General features: G+C 44.8%; 1 long non-coding RNA gene across 4 annotated transcripts in view, besides 1 other annotated feature; it reads left to right on the top strand.

Annotated features, from left to right (window-relative positions):
• Positions 3-82: an enhancer, noted in NCBI's record as "active region_12630". NCBI's record gives its function as "activates an Ori minimal core promoter by ATAC-STARR-seq in GM12878 lymphoblastoid cells {active_cell/tissue: GM12878}" and the evidence as "EXISTENCE:reporter gene assay evidence [ECO:0000049][PMID:35858748]".
• Positions 251-16,740, top strand: part of LOC101928045 (uncharacterized) — a 42,523-nt gene continuing 26,033 nt past the window's right edge. For 2 of the 4 annotated variants that reach the window (NR_188293.1, NR_188294.1), the window contains exon 1: positions 251-287. This is a non-coding gene — a long non-coding RNA (uncharacterized LOC101928045). Of the gene's footprint in view, positions 436-7,501; positions 8,030-16,740 lie in introns of those variants that run through there. The other 2 variants (NR_188295.1, NR_188292.1) reach the window with 2 other exon arrangements.

The raw sequence follows: 16,740 nt of genomic DNA, 5'->3' as shown, positions 1-16,740 counted from the left end.
GGCCGCGCTCACTCCCGGCAGGCCTCGCGCTTTCTCTCGCGAGAATGAACGGGCCTGAGGGGGCGAGTGCTTGCCAAACCAGGAACCTGCTCTCGCAGCCTGCGACCTCTGGCGGGCGGAAGGAGCGAGCGCGACTGTGAATTTAGCCAGGTGGGCTGGGCCGGCTTGCGTCAGACTCCGCCTCCCGAGACCACGCCTCGCCGAGTCCCGGATGTGCTCCAGGAAGGGATAGGGTAGGCGCGGAAGTGCTGCTTACTGGGTCCTGAATCGGCTGCGTGCTGTTCTAGGTGGGGACTTGAGAGACTGTAGATGGGTCTAGGGAGTGGTCGAATATAAATAAGCTAGATTTTTTTTTTTTTAATTGCAAGGGAACTCCCTAGGAATTCCATCCATGGCCTTGTGGAACGATCTGCCAAAGAAAAAATATTTATCTCTGTAGGTAAACTCCCAATAACGTGCTGTTCCTACGTGAAATGCTTAATTCCCCCCAAGTTTCTTGGAACCCTCTAGAGATCTCCAGTCTTTTCAGTCTTTCAGGCCTTCTGAGTTCTCTGACTCCCCTTCTCTGAGCCCCAGTGGGGAAAATCTCTCCTCAGCTTACAGGAAATTCAGACTAGTTTGATGAAGGTGAAGTTGAAGGTCCCCTGTGTGATTTTTGGCAAGGTTTTTATTTCCGGGAGAAATGTATGTTTCTCAGATAAGCATGGCAGATTCAATCAATAATGTTAAATAAATAAGTAAAGATAAATTGTGATGTTCTTAGGGAGAAACCATTTAATAGGCAATTACTAAACAAATGTACCCAGTGTGACAAAGTGCCTCAGTTTAGATTTAAGCATCCACCAGATCGCCATGTGTGTTGTTTCTCATTGCCCCAACATGACGACATGGGCAAAAGGAGAATATCCAGCTACTGTGAAGGAATCAAATGCAGTCTATTTTTATAATGCTAATAGGTCTTTTGTTGTTCAAAAGTAGTGGCATTATCATGGCTCACTGCAGCCTCTAACTCTTGGGCTAAATAAAGCAATCCTCCTGCTTCAGCCTCCCGAATAACTGGGACTACAGGCATCCATCACCACGCCCGGCTAATTTTTGTATTTTTTGCAGACATGGAGTCTTGCTTTGTTGCCCAAGGTGATCTTGAACTCTGATAATCTTTTAATTTTTAGGCTGGGTTGTGAGATCAAGAGGATATAGTTTATTATTATGCTTCATAACTTACTTTGTGATAGGTGGTAAGAAGAAAAACATTAAACTCAGAAGGGAGAGATAAAGCGTGGGTGTGTGGGGGAGGAAGGAGTGGTCTGTGTATGTGAAATTTTCACTAGGATGACCACAGGCCTCCTTGAGAGGATGTCTTTTTTTTTTTTTTTTTTTTTTTGAGACAGGGTCTTGCTCTGTCGCCCAGGCTGGAGTGACGCAGTCTCAACTCACTGCAATCTCTGCTTCCCGGATTTAAGCTATCCTCCCACCTCAGCCTCCCGAGTACCTGGGACTACAGACATGCACCACCATGCCCGGCTAATTTTTGTATTTTTTGTAAAGATGGGGTTTCACCGTATTGCCCAAGCTGACCTTGAATTCCTGGGCTGAAATGACCCTCCCCCCTTGGCCTCCTAGAGTGCTGGGATTACAGAGCCACAGTGCCTGGCCCAAGGGTATCTTTTGAGGATGGCATGAAGGAGGGGAGGGAGCGATCATGCAGTTAACTAGGGGAGGGAGCGATCATGCAGTTAACTAAGAGCATTCTCAGTAGCAAGTGCGCCTGGGGCACCAACAGGGAGATTCCCTAGAAGTCTATCGCAGTTATTGTAGTTACCAGGTGAGAGGTGATGAGGGCACCATCAGTAGCAAGGCTTTTCTTTCTTTCTTTCTTTTTTCTTTTTTGAGGCGGAGTCTTGCACTGTAGCCCAGGCTGGAGTGCAGTGGCGCAATCTCGGCTCACTGCAAGCTCTGCGCCCCGGGTTCACGCCATTCCCCTGCCTCAGCCTCCTGAGCTGGGACTACAGGCGCCCGCCACCATGCCCGGCTGACTTGTTTGTATTTTTAGTAGAGACAGGGTTTCACCTTGTTAGCCAGGATGGTCTCGATCCCCTGACCTCGTGATTCGCCCGCCTCGGCCTCCCAAAGTGCTGGGATTACAGGCGTGAGCCACTGCGCCCAGCCTTTTTTTTTCTTTTTTGAGACAGAGGTTCACTCTTGTCACGAAGGCTGGAGTGCAATGGCACAATCTCGGCTCTCTGCAACCTGCAACCTCTGCCCCCCGGGTTCAAGCGATTCTCCTGTCTCAGCCTCCCGAGTAGCTGGGATTAGAGGCACCCACCCCACACCTGGCTAATTTTTGTATTTTTAGTAGAGACGGGGTTTCACCATGTTGGCCAGGTTGGTCTCGAACTCCTGACCTCAGGTGATCCACCCGCCTCAGCCTCCCAAAGTGCTGGGATTACAGGCCTGAGCCACCGCGCCCGGCCACTTCACATTTTCGTATTCATGGCACCAGCAATTGTCTGTGATCCATACAAAGAGCTTAATACACGTTTGTTGAATAAGTCACACTTAACGTTGCAAGCTAGGATAATAAATAGAACGTGGACTTGATCCATTAAGGGAAAGTAAGACTTCCTGGTTGAGAAAGCTGGAACTGTGCTTGCATATTCGTCTGTAAATTTGAGTCTAAGTTTGGTAAACTATTAAAGGAGATTACAATCCTTTCTGGAAAGGACACCAGCTATAATAAGGGAACTAGGAGTCTTCTGCAACCAAGCCTAAGCTAGGAACGGGTCAGGAGGCGTTCCACTTCCAATGTGCATCCATCAAGGTCAATGAGCAAGAAGAGGGTCTGGCTATCCCTCACTGGTTAGAGACATTTAAGGCTGGTCTTCAAAGGCAGCTGTGACCCTGTGCATTTTACTGTGTGTTGTGGATGTTCTCTCTGGATTGTTTGTCATGTTTATGCTGCTTGGCTGCCTAGCTGTGAAGACTGGGGGAAGATATTGCCTCTCACATTCAATTCCTAGAATAGAATCAGATGATAAATATACAATGAATGAGTCTAAATATATAATGGGTAGGAAGGGAAGCCTGCTCACATTCAAAAGGGAGGATGTTACCCATTAGAAATTTGTCATGGAAGGTTGACAGCTGGTGACGTGTACATTGCATGAATGGGGTACAGTAAGTGCTTCATCAAAGGAATATTCGTAGAAGGACCATTCAGCAAAGAAAGTGAATGGTAGATATTTGTATGCCACCAAATCTCTATATTATTTGAAAGTTGTGGTGATTCTTAAATAAGATCTGAGATACTCTAAGATATGTTTTTCGGTTTCAGAAACTCAAAAAACCTTTGCGGTAAATGTTCAGACCATAGCAAATAATTGAACAATATTACCAGAATTTAGGCATATGCCCCTGAAGAAGTTTTCTGCCCAGCAAAAATCAGAGAGAGAGAGGAAGAATCTAAGATCTTTGTCATCCTTTGGGGCATACATTTCAACCTAATGTTAGCGCCCTCCCGGTGGTGCCAAAACCCAATGAGTATATTTTAAATTTTTTTATTGTGCTAAAATGTACGTAACATAAAATTGCCATTTTAACCTTTTTAGCAACTTTTGTTTTGTTTTGTTTTTTGTATTTTTAGTAAAGACACGGGTTTCACCATGTTGGCCAGGATAGTCTCGATCTCCTGACCTCGTGATCCGCCCGCCTCGGCCTCCCAAAGACTTCCACACCTGGGATTACAGGCATGAGCCGCCGCACCTGGCCTGTTTTTTTTGTTTGTTTGTTTTTTTGTTTTTTTTTTTTTTAAAGAGACAGGGTCTTGCCACGTTGTCCAGGCTGGTCTTGAACTCCTGGGCTCAAGTGATCCTCCTGCCTTGGCCTTCCCAGTAGCTGGGATTACAAGCGTGAGCCACGGCACCAGGCTCTTAACCTTCTTTTTTTTTTTGAGACTGAGTCTCACTCTGCCACCCAGGCTGCAGTGCAATGGCACTATCTCGGCTCACTGCAACCTCCTCCTCCCAGGTTCAAGCAATTCTTGTGCCTCAGCCTCCCGAGTAGCTGGGATTACAGGTGCCCGCCACCACGTCCAGCTAATTTTTGTATTTTTACTAGAGACAGGGTTTTGCCATATTGGCCAGGATGGTCTCGAACCCCTGACCTCAAGTGATCCACCCACCTGGGTCTCTCCAAGTGCTGGGATTACAGGCGTGAGTCACCAGACCCGGCCTTTTAACCATTTTTAAGTGTGCAGTTCTATGGCATGAAGTACATTCACACTGTGTTGCAACCACACCATTCATCTCTGGAACATTTTCATCTTCCCAGACTGAACCCATTAAACAATAACTCTCCATTCCCCCTTCTGCAGCCCCTGGTAATCACTATTCTACTTTCTGTCTCTCTGAATTTAAATACCATAGCTCAGATAAATGGAATCATTAAATATTTGTCCTTTTATGTCTGGCTTATTTCACTTAGCACAACATCTTCAAGGTTCATCCTGTTGTAGCATGTGTCAGAATTTCCTTCCTTTTAAAGACTGACTAATATTCCGTTGAATGGATATACCACATTTTGCTCCTCCATTCTTCCATTCATGGACAGTTGGATTGCTTCCTCTTGGCTATTGTGAATAACGCTGCTATGAACATGGGTATACAAATATCCCCTTGAGATCGTGCTTTGTTTTTTTTTGCTATATAACCAGAAGTAGAATAGCTGGATCACACAGTGATTCTGTTTTTAATTTTTTGAGGAAACACCATGCTGTTTTGCACAGCAGCTGCACAATTTTACATTTCCGTCAGAAGTACACAAGGGTTCCAGTTTCTCCATATCCTCACTAACAATTGTTATTTTATGTTTGTTTGTTTGGTTTTTTTGAGATGGAGCCTTGCTCCGTCACCCAGGCTGGAGCGCAGTGGCGCGATCTCGGCTCACTGCAACCTCCGCCTCCCAGGTTCAAGCGAGTCTCCTGCCTCAGCCTCCCAAGGAGCTGGGATTACAGGCATCTGCCACCACACCCAGCTAATTTTTGCATTTTTAGTAGACCATGAGCACGAGGTCAGGAGATCAAGACCATGTTGGCCAGGATGGTCTTGATCTCCTGACCTCGTGATCTCCCTGCCTCAGCCTCCCAAAGTAATGGGATTACAGGCGTGAGCCACTGCGCCTGGCCTAAAAAAAAAAAAAAAAAAAAAAAAAAAAAGTTTTAAGCTAAGGTCTGATTTCTGTTTTGAAAGGATCACGCTGGCTCTCAAGCAGAGAATAGCTCATAGGGGATAAAAAGCAGAAGCAGAAATACCAATTTTGAGGATACAAGAGATAGTGGCTTGTGGTAGGTGGTGATAGCGGAGATAGGGAAAAGTGGATCAATTCAGGATGTGATTTGGAGGGAGAGTTGACAGGGTGGCAGATGGGTTGAGTGTGATGGTGAGAGGGAGGGAGGAATCAAAGGCATGTTCTGCACATTTACCTTGAGTGACCAGGTGGATTGGGGTGTTCCCTACTGAAATGGGGAAGTCTAGGCAGGGGAGTAGCACATTTGCAAGGGTTGTTTGGAGAAGCCATACCCAAATTTCTATTTTGGCTGTGTTAAGTGAGATGCCAAATAAGCTGTATCCCATATGATGCTGGAGTTCCTGGCAGAGCCCAGGCGGGTGATATAGATTGAGGTATCATTGGCACATGATAGGAATATAAAGCAGTGGGACTGGAGTAGGTTGCCAAGTACTGTGGATTTTATCTTCTAAATATAGCTCAACCTGTCTACCTCTCTCCTTCTCCACTGGCCCCGCCCCCATTCCCAGTCCCATCTCTTTCTTGGACCGCAATAATTGCTTCCTGGTCTCCCTGCTTCTTTGTTGCCTTCTTCCAATCTGTAGCCAGTATGATCTATTAAAATTCAAATCCGATTATTCCACTCCCTGCTTAAAACCCTTTAATACCTTATTCTCAGGATATGAGCAAAATCAAATCCTTACCTTGACCTACAAATAGGGTTGCCAAGTAGAATACGGGATGCCCAGTTAATCTGAATTTCAGATAATAAATTTTATTTATCTATCTATCTATCTATTTATATATTTTTTTGAGACAGAGTCTCGCTTTGTCACCTAGGCTGGAGTACAGTGGTGCAATCTCGGTTCACTGCAACCTCTGCCTCCCAGGCTCAAGCAATTCTCTCACCTCAGCCTCCCAAGTAGCTGGGATTATAGGCACTTGCCACCACAACCTGGCTAATTTTTGTATTTTTAGTAGAGACAGGATTTCACCATGTTGGCCAGGCTGGTTTCGAACTCCTGACCTCAAGTGATCCACCCACCTCGGCCTTCCAAAGTGCTGGGATTACAGGCATGAGCCACCACACTCAGCTGATAGTGAGTACTTTTTTATTTTTAGGTATGTCCTATGCAATTATTCATTGTTTATCTGAAATTAAATTTGACCTGGCATCTTGTATTTTTATTTGCTAAACCACAAGGGCTTTGTAAGATCTAGCCCCTACCCTTCTTTCCTGGCTCATCCCTCATCAGACATCTCTTGTCCTCTTTCTCAAGCCATATTCTTCAGAACCTGGAACAGGCTATGCCCACCCCCCTCACCTCTGTGCCCATGCTATTTCCTTTCCTGCTTCATCTAGCTGCCACTTGTCTTTCAGATCACAGCTTCTGCTGAACAGCCCTCTTTTCTTATGGTATATGCTGTCCTAGCATGATGTAACATTCCTTCATTGACCTGTATGAAGTTGCAACTACACATTTGTGTGACTATATAATTATTATTTATCATTTCTACTACACTCTGAGGTCAGATTTTTTTAATTTTTAATTTTTTTATTTTTTGATACGGAGTTTCACTCTTGTTGCCCAGGCCGGAGTACAATGGCAGGATCTCAGCTCAGTGCAACCTCCACCTCCCGGGTTTAAGCAATTCTCCTGCCTCAGCCTCCCAAGTAGCTGGGATTACAGGTGCACGTCAGGCTAATTTTTGTATTTTTAGTAGAGATGGGGTTTCACCATATTGGTCAGCCTGGTCTCAAACACTGAGATCACTGACCTCAAGTGATCTACCCGCCTCGGCCTCCCAAAGTGCTGGGATTACAGGTGTGAGCCACTGTGCCAGGCCCTAGATTTATTTTTGATCACTTTTGTACCATTCTCCTAGTGTCTGGTACATGTTAGGCACTGTCGAAGGAAGGAAGCGAGGAAGGGAGGAAGAGAGGGAAGGGAGAAAAGAAAAAAAAGTAAAAGATGAAAATACCCGATTATAGAATAAGTTCTATCAGGACCAGAATGAGGAATGAGGATTAAAGCAGAAATTGGCCCTGAGAGCCAATTCACAGGGAGGGCGCAGAGGGAATGCAGGCTGAAGGTAAAGCCCCCAGTTCAGCCTAGGAGGAGAGTAACTTGATATTTTGTCCCGATATGTTGGGGGTGAGACTGAAGAAGTTTGAGGCTGTCTAAACACCTTCTTTTTTTTTTTTTTTGAAATGGAGCCTCGCTGTGTCACCCAGGCTGGAGTGAAGAGGTGCGATCTCGGCTCACTGCAACCTCCGCCTCCTGGATTCAAGCATCAGCCTCCCTAGAAGCTGGGATTATGGGTGCCGGCCATCACACCTGGCTATTATTTGTACTTTTAGTAGAGATGGGGTTTCGCCATGTTGGCCAGGCTGGTCTCGAACACCTGACCTCAAGTGACGCACCTGCCTTGGCCTCCCAAAGTGCTGGGATTACAGGCACGGGCCATCGTGCCCGGCCTTGCTTAAATACCTTCTACCCCTAAACTCTATTAGGTGTGGCAAACGGGGGTGGGCACTGGTGAGTGTGTTTATGGAACTGCTGCCTGAAGAAAAGCTCAGGTGGGTCTGGGCTCGGCTCCTGTTCAACTCTGTGGGAATCCTTCACCTTCATGTCCCCAGCAGGAGCCAGCAGGAGGGTGCATGTGGATGGAAGACAACGGATGCACCTAAAGCCCTCCTTCTCAACCAGCCCTGCAAATAAATCGGTCCTATTCTTCACCTAAATGTCTAGTTGACTACCTTTTTTTTTTGTATAAATGTATTTTTATAAATTGCTTAAGTTTTGTCTTAGCAATCAAGGGAGTAGAAAAGTAGCGAGACATTTGGTGCCATTGACACACACATCTCCAATTCTCTGCTAAAATTTTTTTGGAGGTGGTGCTGTCTTCATGGCAAATGTTAGCTATATCTAGATTTTTTTTAAATGTAAATTTTAATATTTGGAAATAAGAAGAATGGCTACATATGTTCATAAAGCTTTGTAGTTTATGTAGTATTTTCATGTCAAGAAATTTTTTTTCTGGAATTAAATTTAATTCAATTCCAGTAAAATTAAATTTATTGTCTCCAAAAAAAGGTGACTTCTTTCCTGAAGTATATCCAATTAGTAGCTATCAATGCTATTAAAAACCTGCTATTAAAAACTGGTGGTTTGGCTGGGCGCCGTGGCTCACGTCTGTAATCCCAGTACTTTGGGAGGCCAAGGCAGGCGGGTCACGAGGTCAGGAGATTGAGACCATCCTAGCTAGTATGGTGAAACCCCATCTCTACTAAAAATACAAAAAAGTAGCCGGGCGTGCTGGCACGCACCTGTAATCCCAGCTACTCAGGAGGCTGAGGCAGGAGAATTGCTTGAACCCCGGAGGCAGAGGTTGCAGTGAGCCGAGATCGCCCACTGCACTCCAGCCTGGACGACAGAGCGAGACTCCGTCTCAGAACAAAACAAAACAACAACAACAAAAAACTGGTGGCTCAGGCCTATAATCCCAGCACTTTGGGAGGCTGAAGTGGGAGGACTGCTTGAAGCCAGGAGTTCAAAATCAGCCTGGGTTTTGTTATCAAGACCCCATCTCTACAAAAAATTTTTTAATTTAAATTAGCTGAGTGAGGTGCTGTGTGCCTATAGTCCTATACCCAGGAGGCTGAGGCAGGAGGATCACTGGAGCCCAGGAGTCCAAGGTTACAGTGAGCTATGAAGGCACCACTACACTCTAGCATCATTGGTGACAGAGCGAGAACCCGTCTCAGCAAAACAAAATGATACACTCATAAAAGAGCTGTGTTTCTGAAGGTGGTTTGAAACTAGTTGTTTTGAACTCAGATGGTATTTTCTCGGTGGCAGTGCTGAGCAGGGAAACTAGGCTCTCAGCTCAGCCAGTAAACCTGCCTAGTGCAGCTAAAGGCTGATCAATACCGCCTTCACATTTGCATTGGAAAGCCCAGTGGCCATGGTTCAACAGGAACACATTTTTAGAGTTTCCACTTGGGTTATCAGGAAAACATCTTTATCTGCTGGAAACTAGATAAGGAGAGGTGGCTCCGCCTGTCCCCCTGGAGGCGAGGAAACCACAGAAAAGCCAGGAGTGGAGAGGTGAGTTTGAGGGTAATTGTTGGAGACCCAGTGTCAGGCATTATGGTGGCTGAGATCATGGTTAAGGAGCCATTGTGTGGATGGGTCATTAATAACTCAGATGAGTGAGTTGGAGACCACCTATTGTTAGAGGAAAGTAAAAAAGCAAAGGCCTAAAATTGGGAGGCAAGAGAAGAATATTATGTGAAATCTTAGAGGTCCCTTTGATGGCTGTCAGTGCTCCCTCTGAGAAGAAAGGCTCTCAGATTGTCCCTTAAGGAAACTTGGAGCTATTCTACTGTTTTTTTGTTTGTTTATTTGTTTGTTTGTTTGTTTTTGACACAGGGTGTTGCTCTGTCACCCAGGCTGGAGCGCAGTGACCCAGACACAGCTCACTGCAGCCTCAACCTCCCTGGCTCAAATAATCCTCCCATCTCAGCCTCCTGGGTAGCTGGGACTACTGGTGTGCTCCACCATGCCCAGCTAATAAAAAAAAAAATTTTTGGTAGAGACTATGTCTCCCTATATTGCCCAGGCTGATCTCAAAAGTCCTGAGCTCAAGTGATCCTCCTGCCTCAGACTCCAAGTGCTGGGATTACAGGTGTGAGCTACTGCGCCAGGCCTGGTATTTTACTTTTTAAACCATCTTTCCTTGGTTTTCATTTAAAGCATCAAGAAAGGTGCATGGGGAGGGGAAAAAGAGTCTATCCAAAACACTGAAAATAATTGATTCATATTTGGATCCAGAATGGAAGATGCTTGCTTTCAAAGATAAGTATGCTTCTCGGGGTATGTTTGGTTTAATCTTATATAAAAGGAATTACCAAAGAGTTTCAGTGAGGCTGTGGTAGATATTGTTTAGCAAATCCAATTAACAAAATGTTGGCCTCTGTGTATTAACCAGATCTGTCTCAAAAGTCGTCCATCAGCTTGGCAAGGGTGTTTTGTCATATGCTAAAAAGCTTTTGCATTTAGATGCAAATTAGATCTAGTATATCAGAAAAAAGAGAAGCTTTTGACATTTTTATATTCTGACAATAACAGGTCATGTTACTTAAAAGAATCTGAGTATAAAACACTATTGACCCACCAGATGATCTGAAATTAGCCAGTTTTGTGTGTGTGTGTGTGTATTTAATGATCTAAGCACCCTCATTTAGTTGTCTTTAAAGGAGTAAAACGTAATTATTTTTACAACTTGCATGCATGAAAACAAAGGAGGTTTTGCAGGTCTGACTTCATTTGTACAGTTCTTTTCAAACAGAAACATATTTTACCTTATTCTTATTTTTTTTATTTTTTATTTTTATTTTTGAGCAGGGTCTTGCTCTGTCTCCCGGGCTGGAGTGCAGTGGCACCATCTCAGCTCACTGCAACCTCTGCCTTCCGGGTTAAGTGATTCTTGTGCCTGAGCCTCTCAAGTAGCTGGGATTAGGAGTGCGCCACCACACCCAGCTAATGTTTGTATTTTTTAGTAGAGATGGGTTTCACCATGTTGGCCTGGTCTCGAACTCCCGGACTCAGGTGATCTGCCTGCCTCAGCATCCCAAAGTGCTAGAACTACAGACGTGAGCCATCGTGCCTGGACTATTTTTGTTTTTTTTTAAATTTTTTATTTATTTATATTTTTTTGAGACGGAGTCTTGCTCTGTTGCCTATGCTGGAGTGCAGTGGCATGATCTCAGCTCACTGCAACCTCTGCCTCCCAGGCTCAAGCGATTCTCCTGACTCAGCTTCCCAAGTAGCTGGGATTACAGGCACCTGCCACCACACCTGGCTAATTTTTGTATTTTTAGTAGAGACGGGGTTTCGCCATGATGACCAGGCTGGTCTTGAACTCCTGACCTCGTGATCTGCCCATCTTGGCCTTCAAAGTGCTGGGATTACAAGCGTGAGCCACCGCGCCCAGCCTATTCTTATTTTAAAAAGGAGCTTCATGTACTGATGGAGCACTAGGAAAGGTCACCTGCTCTTTCTCATAGAGCTTCTGTTTATTTATTTATTTTTTAGAAACAAGGTCTTGCTGTGTGTCCCAGGCTAGAGTGCAGTGGTGCAATCATAGTACACTGCAGCTTTGAACTCCTGGGCTCAAGCGATCTTCTTACCTTAGCCTCCTGAGTAGCTGCGACTACAGGCGCATGCCACCATGTTTGGCTAATTTTTAAACTTTTTGTAGAGATGAGGTCTCACTATGTTGCCCAGGCTGCTCTCAAACTCCTGAGCTCAAGTAATCCTCCTGCCTTGGCTCCCCAAAGTGCTGGGATTACAGGCATGAGCCACTGCACTCGGCCTAGAGCTACTGTTGAAATTTGCCTGTGCATTCTATTTTTCTCAGGATTTTTCAGCCGCAGCTTCCATCACCTACTGACAATCTTATTTTTACATATTTGTCATTCAGATTTAATATATGCCACCTGTTATTAATGGTAGTGTTGCTACAGTTGAAGAAACAAAGGCTCAGAGGGATGAAGTCACTTGTCCAGCATCACACAGCATTAGAAAAATGTCTGTTGTCTAATAACTAGAAAAGGTCTGGTTGGGTATGCTGGCTCATGCCTATAATATCAGCACTTTGAGAAGCCAAGGTGGGAGGATCACTTGAGCCTAGGAATTCGAGACCAGCCTAGGCAATATGGTGACACCCAGTCTCTACAAAAATTAAAAAAATTAGCCAGGTGTGGTGGCCCTTGCTTGTGGTCCCAGCTATTCAGGAGGCTGACGTGGTAGAATAGCTTGAGCCCAGGAGGGTGAGGTCACAGTGAGCTATGTTTGTGCCACTGCACTCCAGCCTGGGTGACAGAGCGAGACCCTGTCTCAAAAGAAAAAAAATAAAAACAAGGAAATATCTGTTTTCTAATAATTAGAGAACTTCTGCTTACTAGTGCTGCACTCCTATAGTTTGGTTTGTTTGTTCCTTCCAAATCTCATGTTGAATTTTTTTTTTTTTTTTTGAGATGGAGTCTTGCTCTGTTGCCTAGGCTGGAGTGCAATGGCGCAATCTCAGCTCACTGCAACCTCTGCCTCCCAAGTTCAATCGATTCTCCTGCCTCAGCCTCCCGAGTAGCTGGGATTATAGGCATATGCTGCTGCACCTGGTTAATTTTTGTATTTTTAGTAGAGACAGGGTTTCACCATGTTGGCCAGGCTGGTCTTGAACTCCTGACCTCAAGTGATCTGCCCGCCAAGCCCTCCCAAAGTGCTGGGATTACAGGGGTGAGCCACCACACCAGGACTTCATGTTGAAATTTGATCCCCTGTGTTGGCAATGGGGCCTAATGGGAGGTATTTGGGTCATGGGGGTGGATCCCACATGAATTCTGGCTTGGCGCTATCCTTGTGATCACAAGTGAGTTCTCCTTCCATTACTTCCTTCCAGAGCTGGTTGTTGAAGAGTCCATAGTCTCCCACTTCTTTTGCTTCCTCTCTCACCATGTGACCTGCACAGGCTGGCTCCTCTTCACTTTCCACCGTGAGTGGAAGCAGCCTGAGGCCTCACCAGAAGCAGATGCTGGTGCCATGCTTTTTGTACAGCCTGCAGAACCGTGAGCTTATAAACCGTGGGTTTATAAATTACCCAGTCTCCAGTAGTCCTTTATAGCAACACTAAATAGATTAAGATAAGCAAACTGTACAGTATGTTTACTGGCTTATAGGATTTCCCTCTTCCCATAAAATAAGACTTTAAAATGTTTGATGCATGCTATAACATGGATGAACCTTGAAAACATTATGCTAAGTGAAGTAAGACAGACACAAAAGGACACATATTACAGGATTCCACTTACATGAGTGATATGGTTTGGCTGTGTCCCCACCCAAATCTCATCTTGAATTGTAGCTTCCATAATTCCCACGTGTTGTGGGAAGGACCTGGTGGGAGGTAATCGAATCATGGGGGTGGGTTATTCCCGTGCTGTGCTCATAATAGTGAATAAGTCTCAGGAGAGCTAATGGTTTTATAAGGGGGAGTTCCCCTGCACCGCTCTCTTGCCTGCCATCATGTAAGATGTGCCTTTCTCCTCTTTGCCTTCCACCATGATTGTGAGGCCTCCCCAGCCATGTGTAACCGTGAGTCAATTAAACCTCTTTCCTTTATAAATTACCTAGTCTCAGGTATGTCTTTATTAGCAGTGTGAGAACAGACTAATACAATGAGGTACAGAATAGGCAAAATTGCAGAGACAGAAAGTAGAATAGAGGCTTTTGGGGGCTGGGAGGAGGGCAGGATGGGGACTTATTACTTAATGGGCACAGAGTTTCTGTTTAAGATGATGAAAAAGTTCTGAAAATGAATAGTGGTGGCTGGGTATGGTGGCACACACCTGTAATCCCAGCACTTTGGGAGGCTGGGGTGGGAGGATCACTTGAGGTCAGGAGTTTGAGACCAGCCTGGCCAACATGGCGAAACCCTGTCTCTATAGAAAATTAGTTGGGTATGGTGGTGCACATCTGTAATCCCAGCTACTTGGGAGGCTGAGGCAGAAGAATTGCTTGAACCCTGGAGGTGGAGGTTGCAGTGAGCTGATTGTGCCACTGCACCCCAGCCTGGGTGACAGAGTGAGACTGTGTCTCAAAAAAAGAAAAAAAAAAAGATAATGGTGATGGCTGCACAACATTGTGAATGTAGTTAATGCCACTGAATTATATACTTAAAAATGGCTACTATGCGGCCGGGTGTGGTGGCTCACACCTGTAATCCCAGCACTTTGGGAGGCCAAGATGGGTTGATCACCTGAGGTCAGGAGTTCGAGACCATCCTGGCCAACATGGTGAAACCCCATCTCTACCAAAATACAAAAATTAGCCGAGCGTGGTGGTGTGTGCCTGTAATCCCAGCTACTCGGGAGGCTGAGGCGGGAGAATTGCTTGCATCCTGGAGGCAGAGGTTGCAGTGAGCCAAGATCGCGCCATTGCACGCCAGCCTGGGCAACAGAGGGAGACTCTGTCTCAAAACGCTAATATGATAGTGAATAAGTCTCATGAGAGATTTATAATACATAATATACACAAATTGCGTATACTTAAATATACATAAATTGTATGTTATGTATATTTTACAATAAAAATATTTAATTGAAATTTAATTTTAAAATTAAATTTAAATGCCCCCCAAAATGTTTGAGAGTTGTGATGAATATGTTAGAAAGTAGCAGAAAAAAAATTGAGGTGGCTGTTTGCCTCTGTGAAAATTTTTTCGTTTTTGAAAGTAAAGATTTTGGGAGATTGGGGTAAGGGATGGCAGCATGAGAGAGTCTTGTAGTGATGGAACAGTTCTGTATCTTAAATGTAGTGATAGCTGCATGAGGCTATATTGATGAGGAAATTGCATAGAACTACATGCATACACATGCGTACACACACACACACACACACACACAAACACACACACACACAAATGACTGCATGTAACTTGGTGAAATTTTTTTTTTGAGACAGGGTCTTGCTCTGTTGCCCAGGCTAGAGTGCAGTGGTGTAATCTCAGCTCACTGCAACCTCTGCCTCCCAGGCTTAAGTGATTCTGCCACCTCAGCCTCCCACGTAGCTGTGACTACAGGCACGCACTACCGCGCCTAGCCAATATTTTTGTACTTTTTGTAGAGACGGGGTTTCACCATGTTGCCCAGGCTGGTCTTGAACTCCTGGGCTCGTGATCCGCCTACCTTGGCCTCCAAAAGTGCTAGGATTACAGCAGTGAGCCACCGTGCCTGCCCATGGTGAAATCTTCATAAGCTCTATGAATTGTACCAATGTCAACTCCCTGGTTGTGATGTACTATTGGTTTTTTTTTTTTTTGAGACAGAGTCTCACTCTTTCGCCCAGGTTGGAGTGCAGTGGTGCAATCTCAGCTCACTGCAACCTCCACCTCCTGGATTCAAGCGATTCTCTTGCCTCAGCTTCCCAAGTAGCTGGGATTACAGGCACCTGCCACCATGCCTGGCTAATTTTTTTGTATTTTTGGTAAAGACAGGGTTTTCACCATGTTGGCCAGTCTGGTCTTGAACTCCTGACCTCAAGTGATCTGCCCGCCTTGGCCTCCCAAAGTGCTGAGATTACAGGCATGAGCCACCAGGCCCGGCTGGTGTACTACTAGTTATACAAGATGTTATCATTAGGGGAGGCCGGGTGAAGGGTGTACAGGCCATCCTGTATACTTCTTTGTAACTTCCTGTGAATCTATAATTATCTCAAAATAATTAAAATAAACACCCAACACTGACAATAAAACAGTAAACACTGGGCCGGGTGAGGTGGCTCACACCTGTAATCCCAGCATTTTGCGGGGGCCGAGGCAGGTGGATCACTTGAGGCCAGGAGTTCGAGACCAGCCTGGCTAACACGGTGAATCCCTGTCTCTAATAAAAAATACAAAAATTAGCTGGGCGTGGTGGCAGGCACCTGTAATCCCAGCTACTTAGAGGCTGAGGCAGGAGAATCACTTGAACTCGGGAGTTGGAGGTTACTATGTGCTGAGATCATGTCACTGTACTCCAGCCAGGGATACAGAGCGAGAATCCATCTCAAAAAAAAAAAAAAAAAAAAAGTAAACACTGCAGTCAGATTCCAAACTAACTTGAGTGTAAATTTTATACCTGGTCCTCGTTATGTATGAGAAATGAGCATAGTACTCTCCTGGTGGAGAATTCTCTATTCCTCAGGAATGGCTTGCGCGTGGCTGAAAAGGGTGCTATGTACCAACTGTTTCTTCTCTTTTTTGGAGCACATGTGTGATCTGTCATCACGTTGCTTCCCGAGAAGTTAAATCAAAGACTTAGGAGGGACTCTGCTTTGTCCTTACCAAGGTTCTGCTAGAATTTGGGAATCACTGATTCTAAAATAACAGTAAGAGAGCTGGAGTTTTTTTTTCTTTTCTTTTTTCTTTCTTTCTTTTTTTTTTTTTAACTGATTCCTTCTTGGTAAAAAAAAAAAAAAAAGCAAAAACCCAAAAACTTGTTGGCACGTATATGGTGGTTTTCAGGAAAACCTCAAATAAAAAGATGCATTCAATGTTTGTTATCCCTGAAAGTGTGAAAACAAAATGACTTAGAATTGATGTTTGTTTATTCAATTAAATGCAGTTCCTTATGCTCAAGTTAGGCTTTTGTTTCTGTAGTAGCCAGTCAAATGTTTCTACAGTTTGCTAGCTAGGCTGGAGAAGGCACTGAACATTTAAATAATTCGGAGAGCTTCTTTGTGTCTGGGCTCTCCCTTCATCACATGACTACCCAAAATAAGGATATTTGACCTATTAATACTTTAACAAAAGACTTGTATGGAAATTGGATGCTGGCAATTGCTTAATAAGTTGAGACTGGTGAACTTTTACAATGGCAAATACTTGTTTAAAGAGACACATGTTCTCACTCAC

This window comes from Homo sapiens, chromosome 17 (genome assembly GCF_000001405.40).
Source record: "Homo sapiens chromosome 17, GRCh38.p14 Primary Assembly".
Lineage (NCBI taxonomy): Eukaryota > Metazoa > Chordata > Mammalia > Primates > Hominidae > Homo > Homo sapiens.
This window is presented reverse-complemented; position numbering and strand designations above follow the sequence as displayed.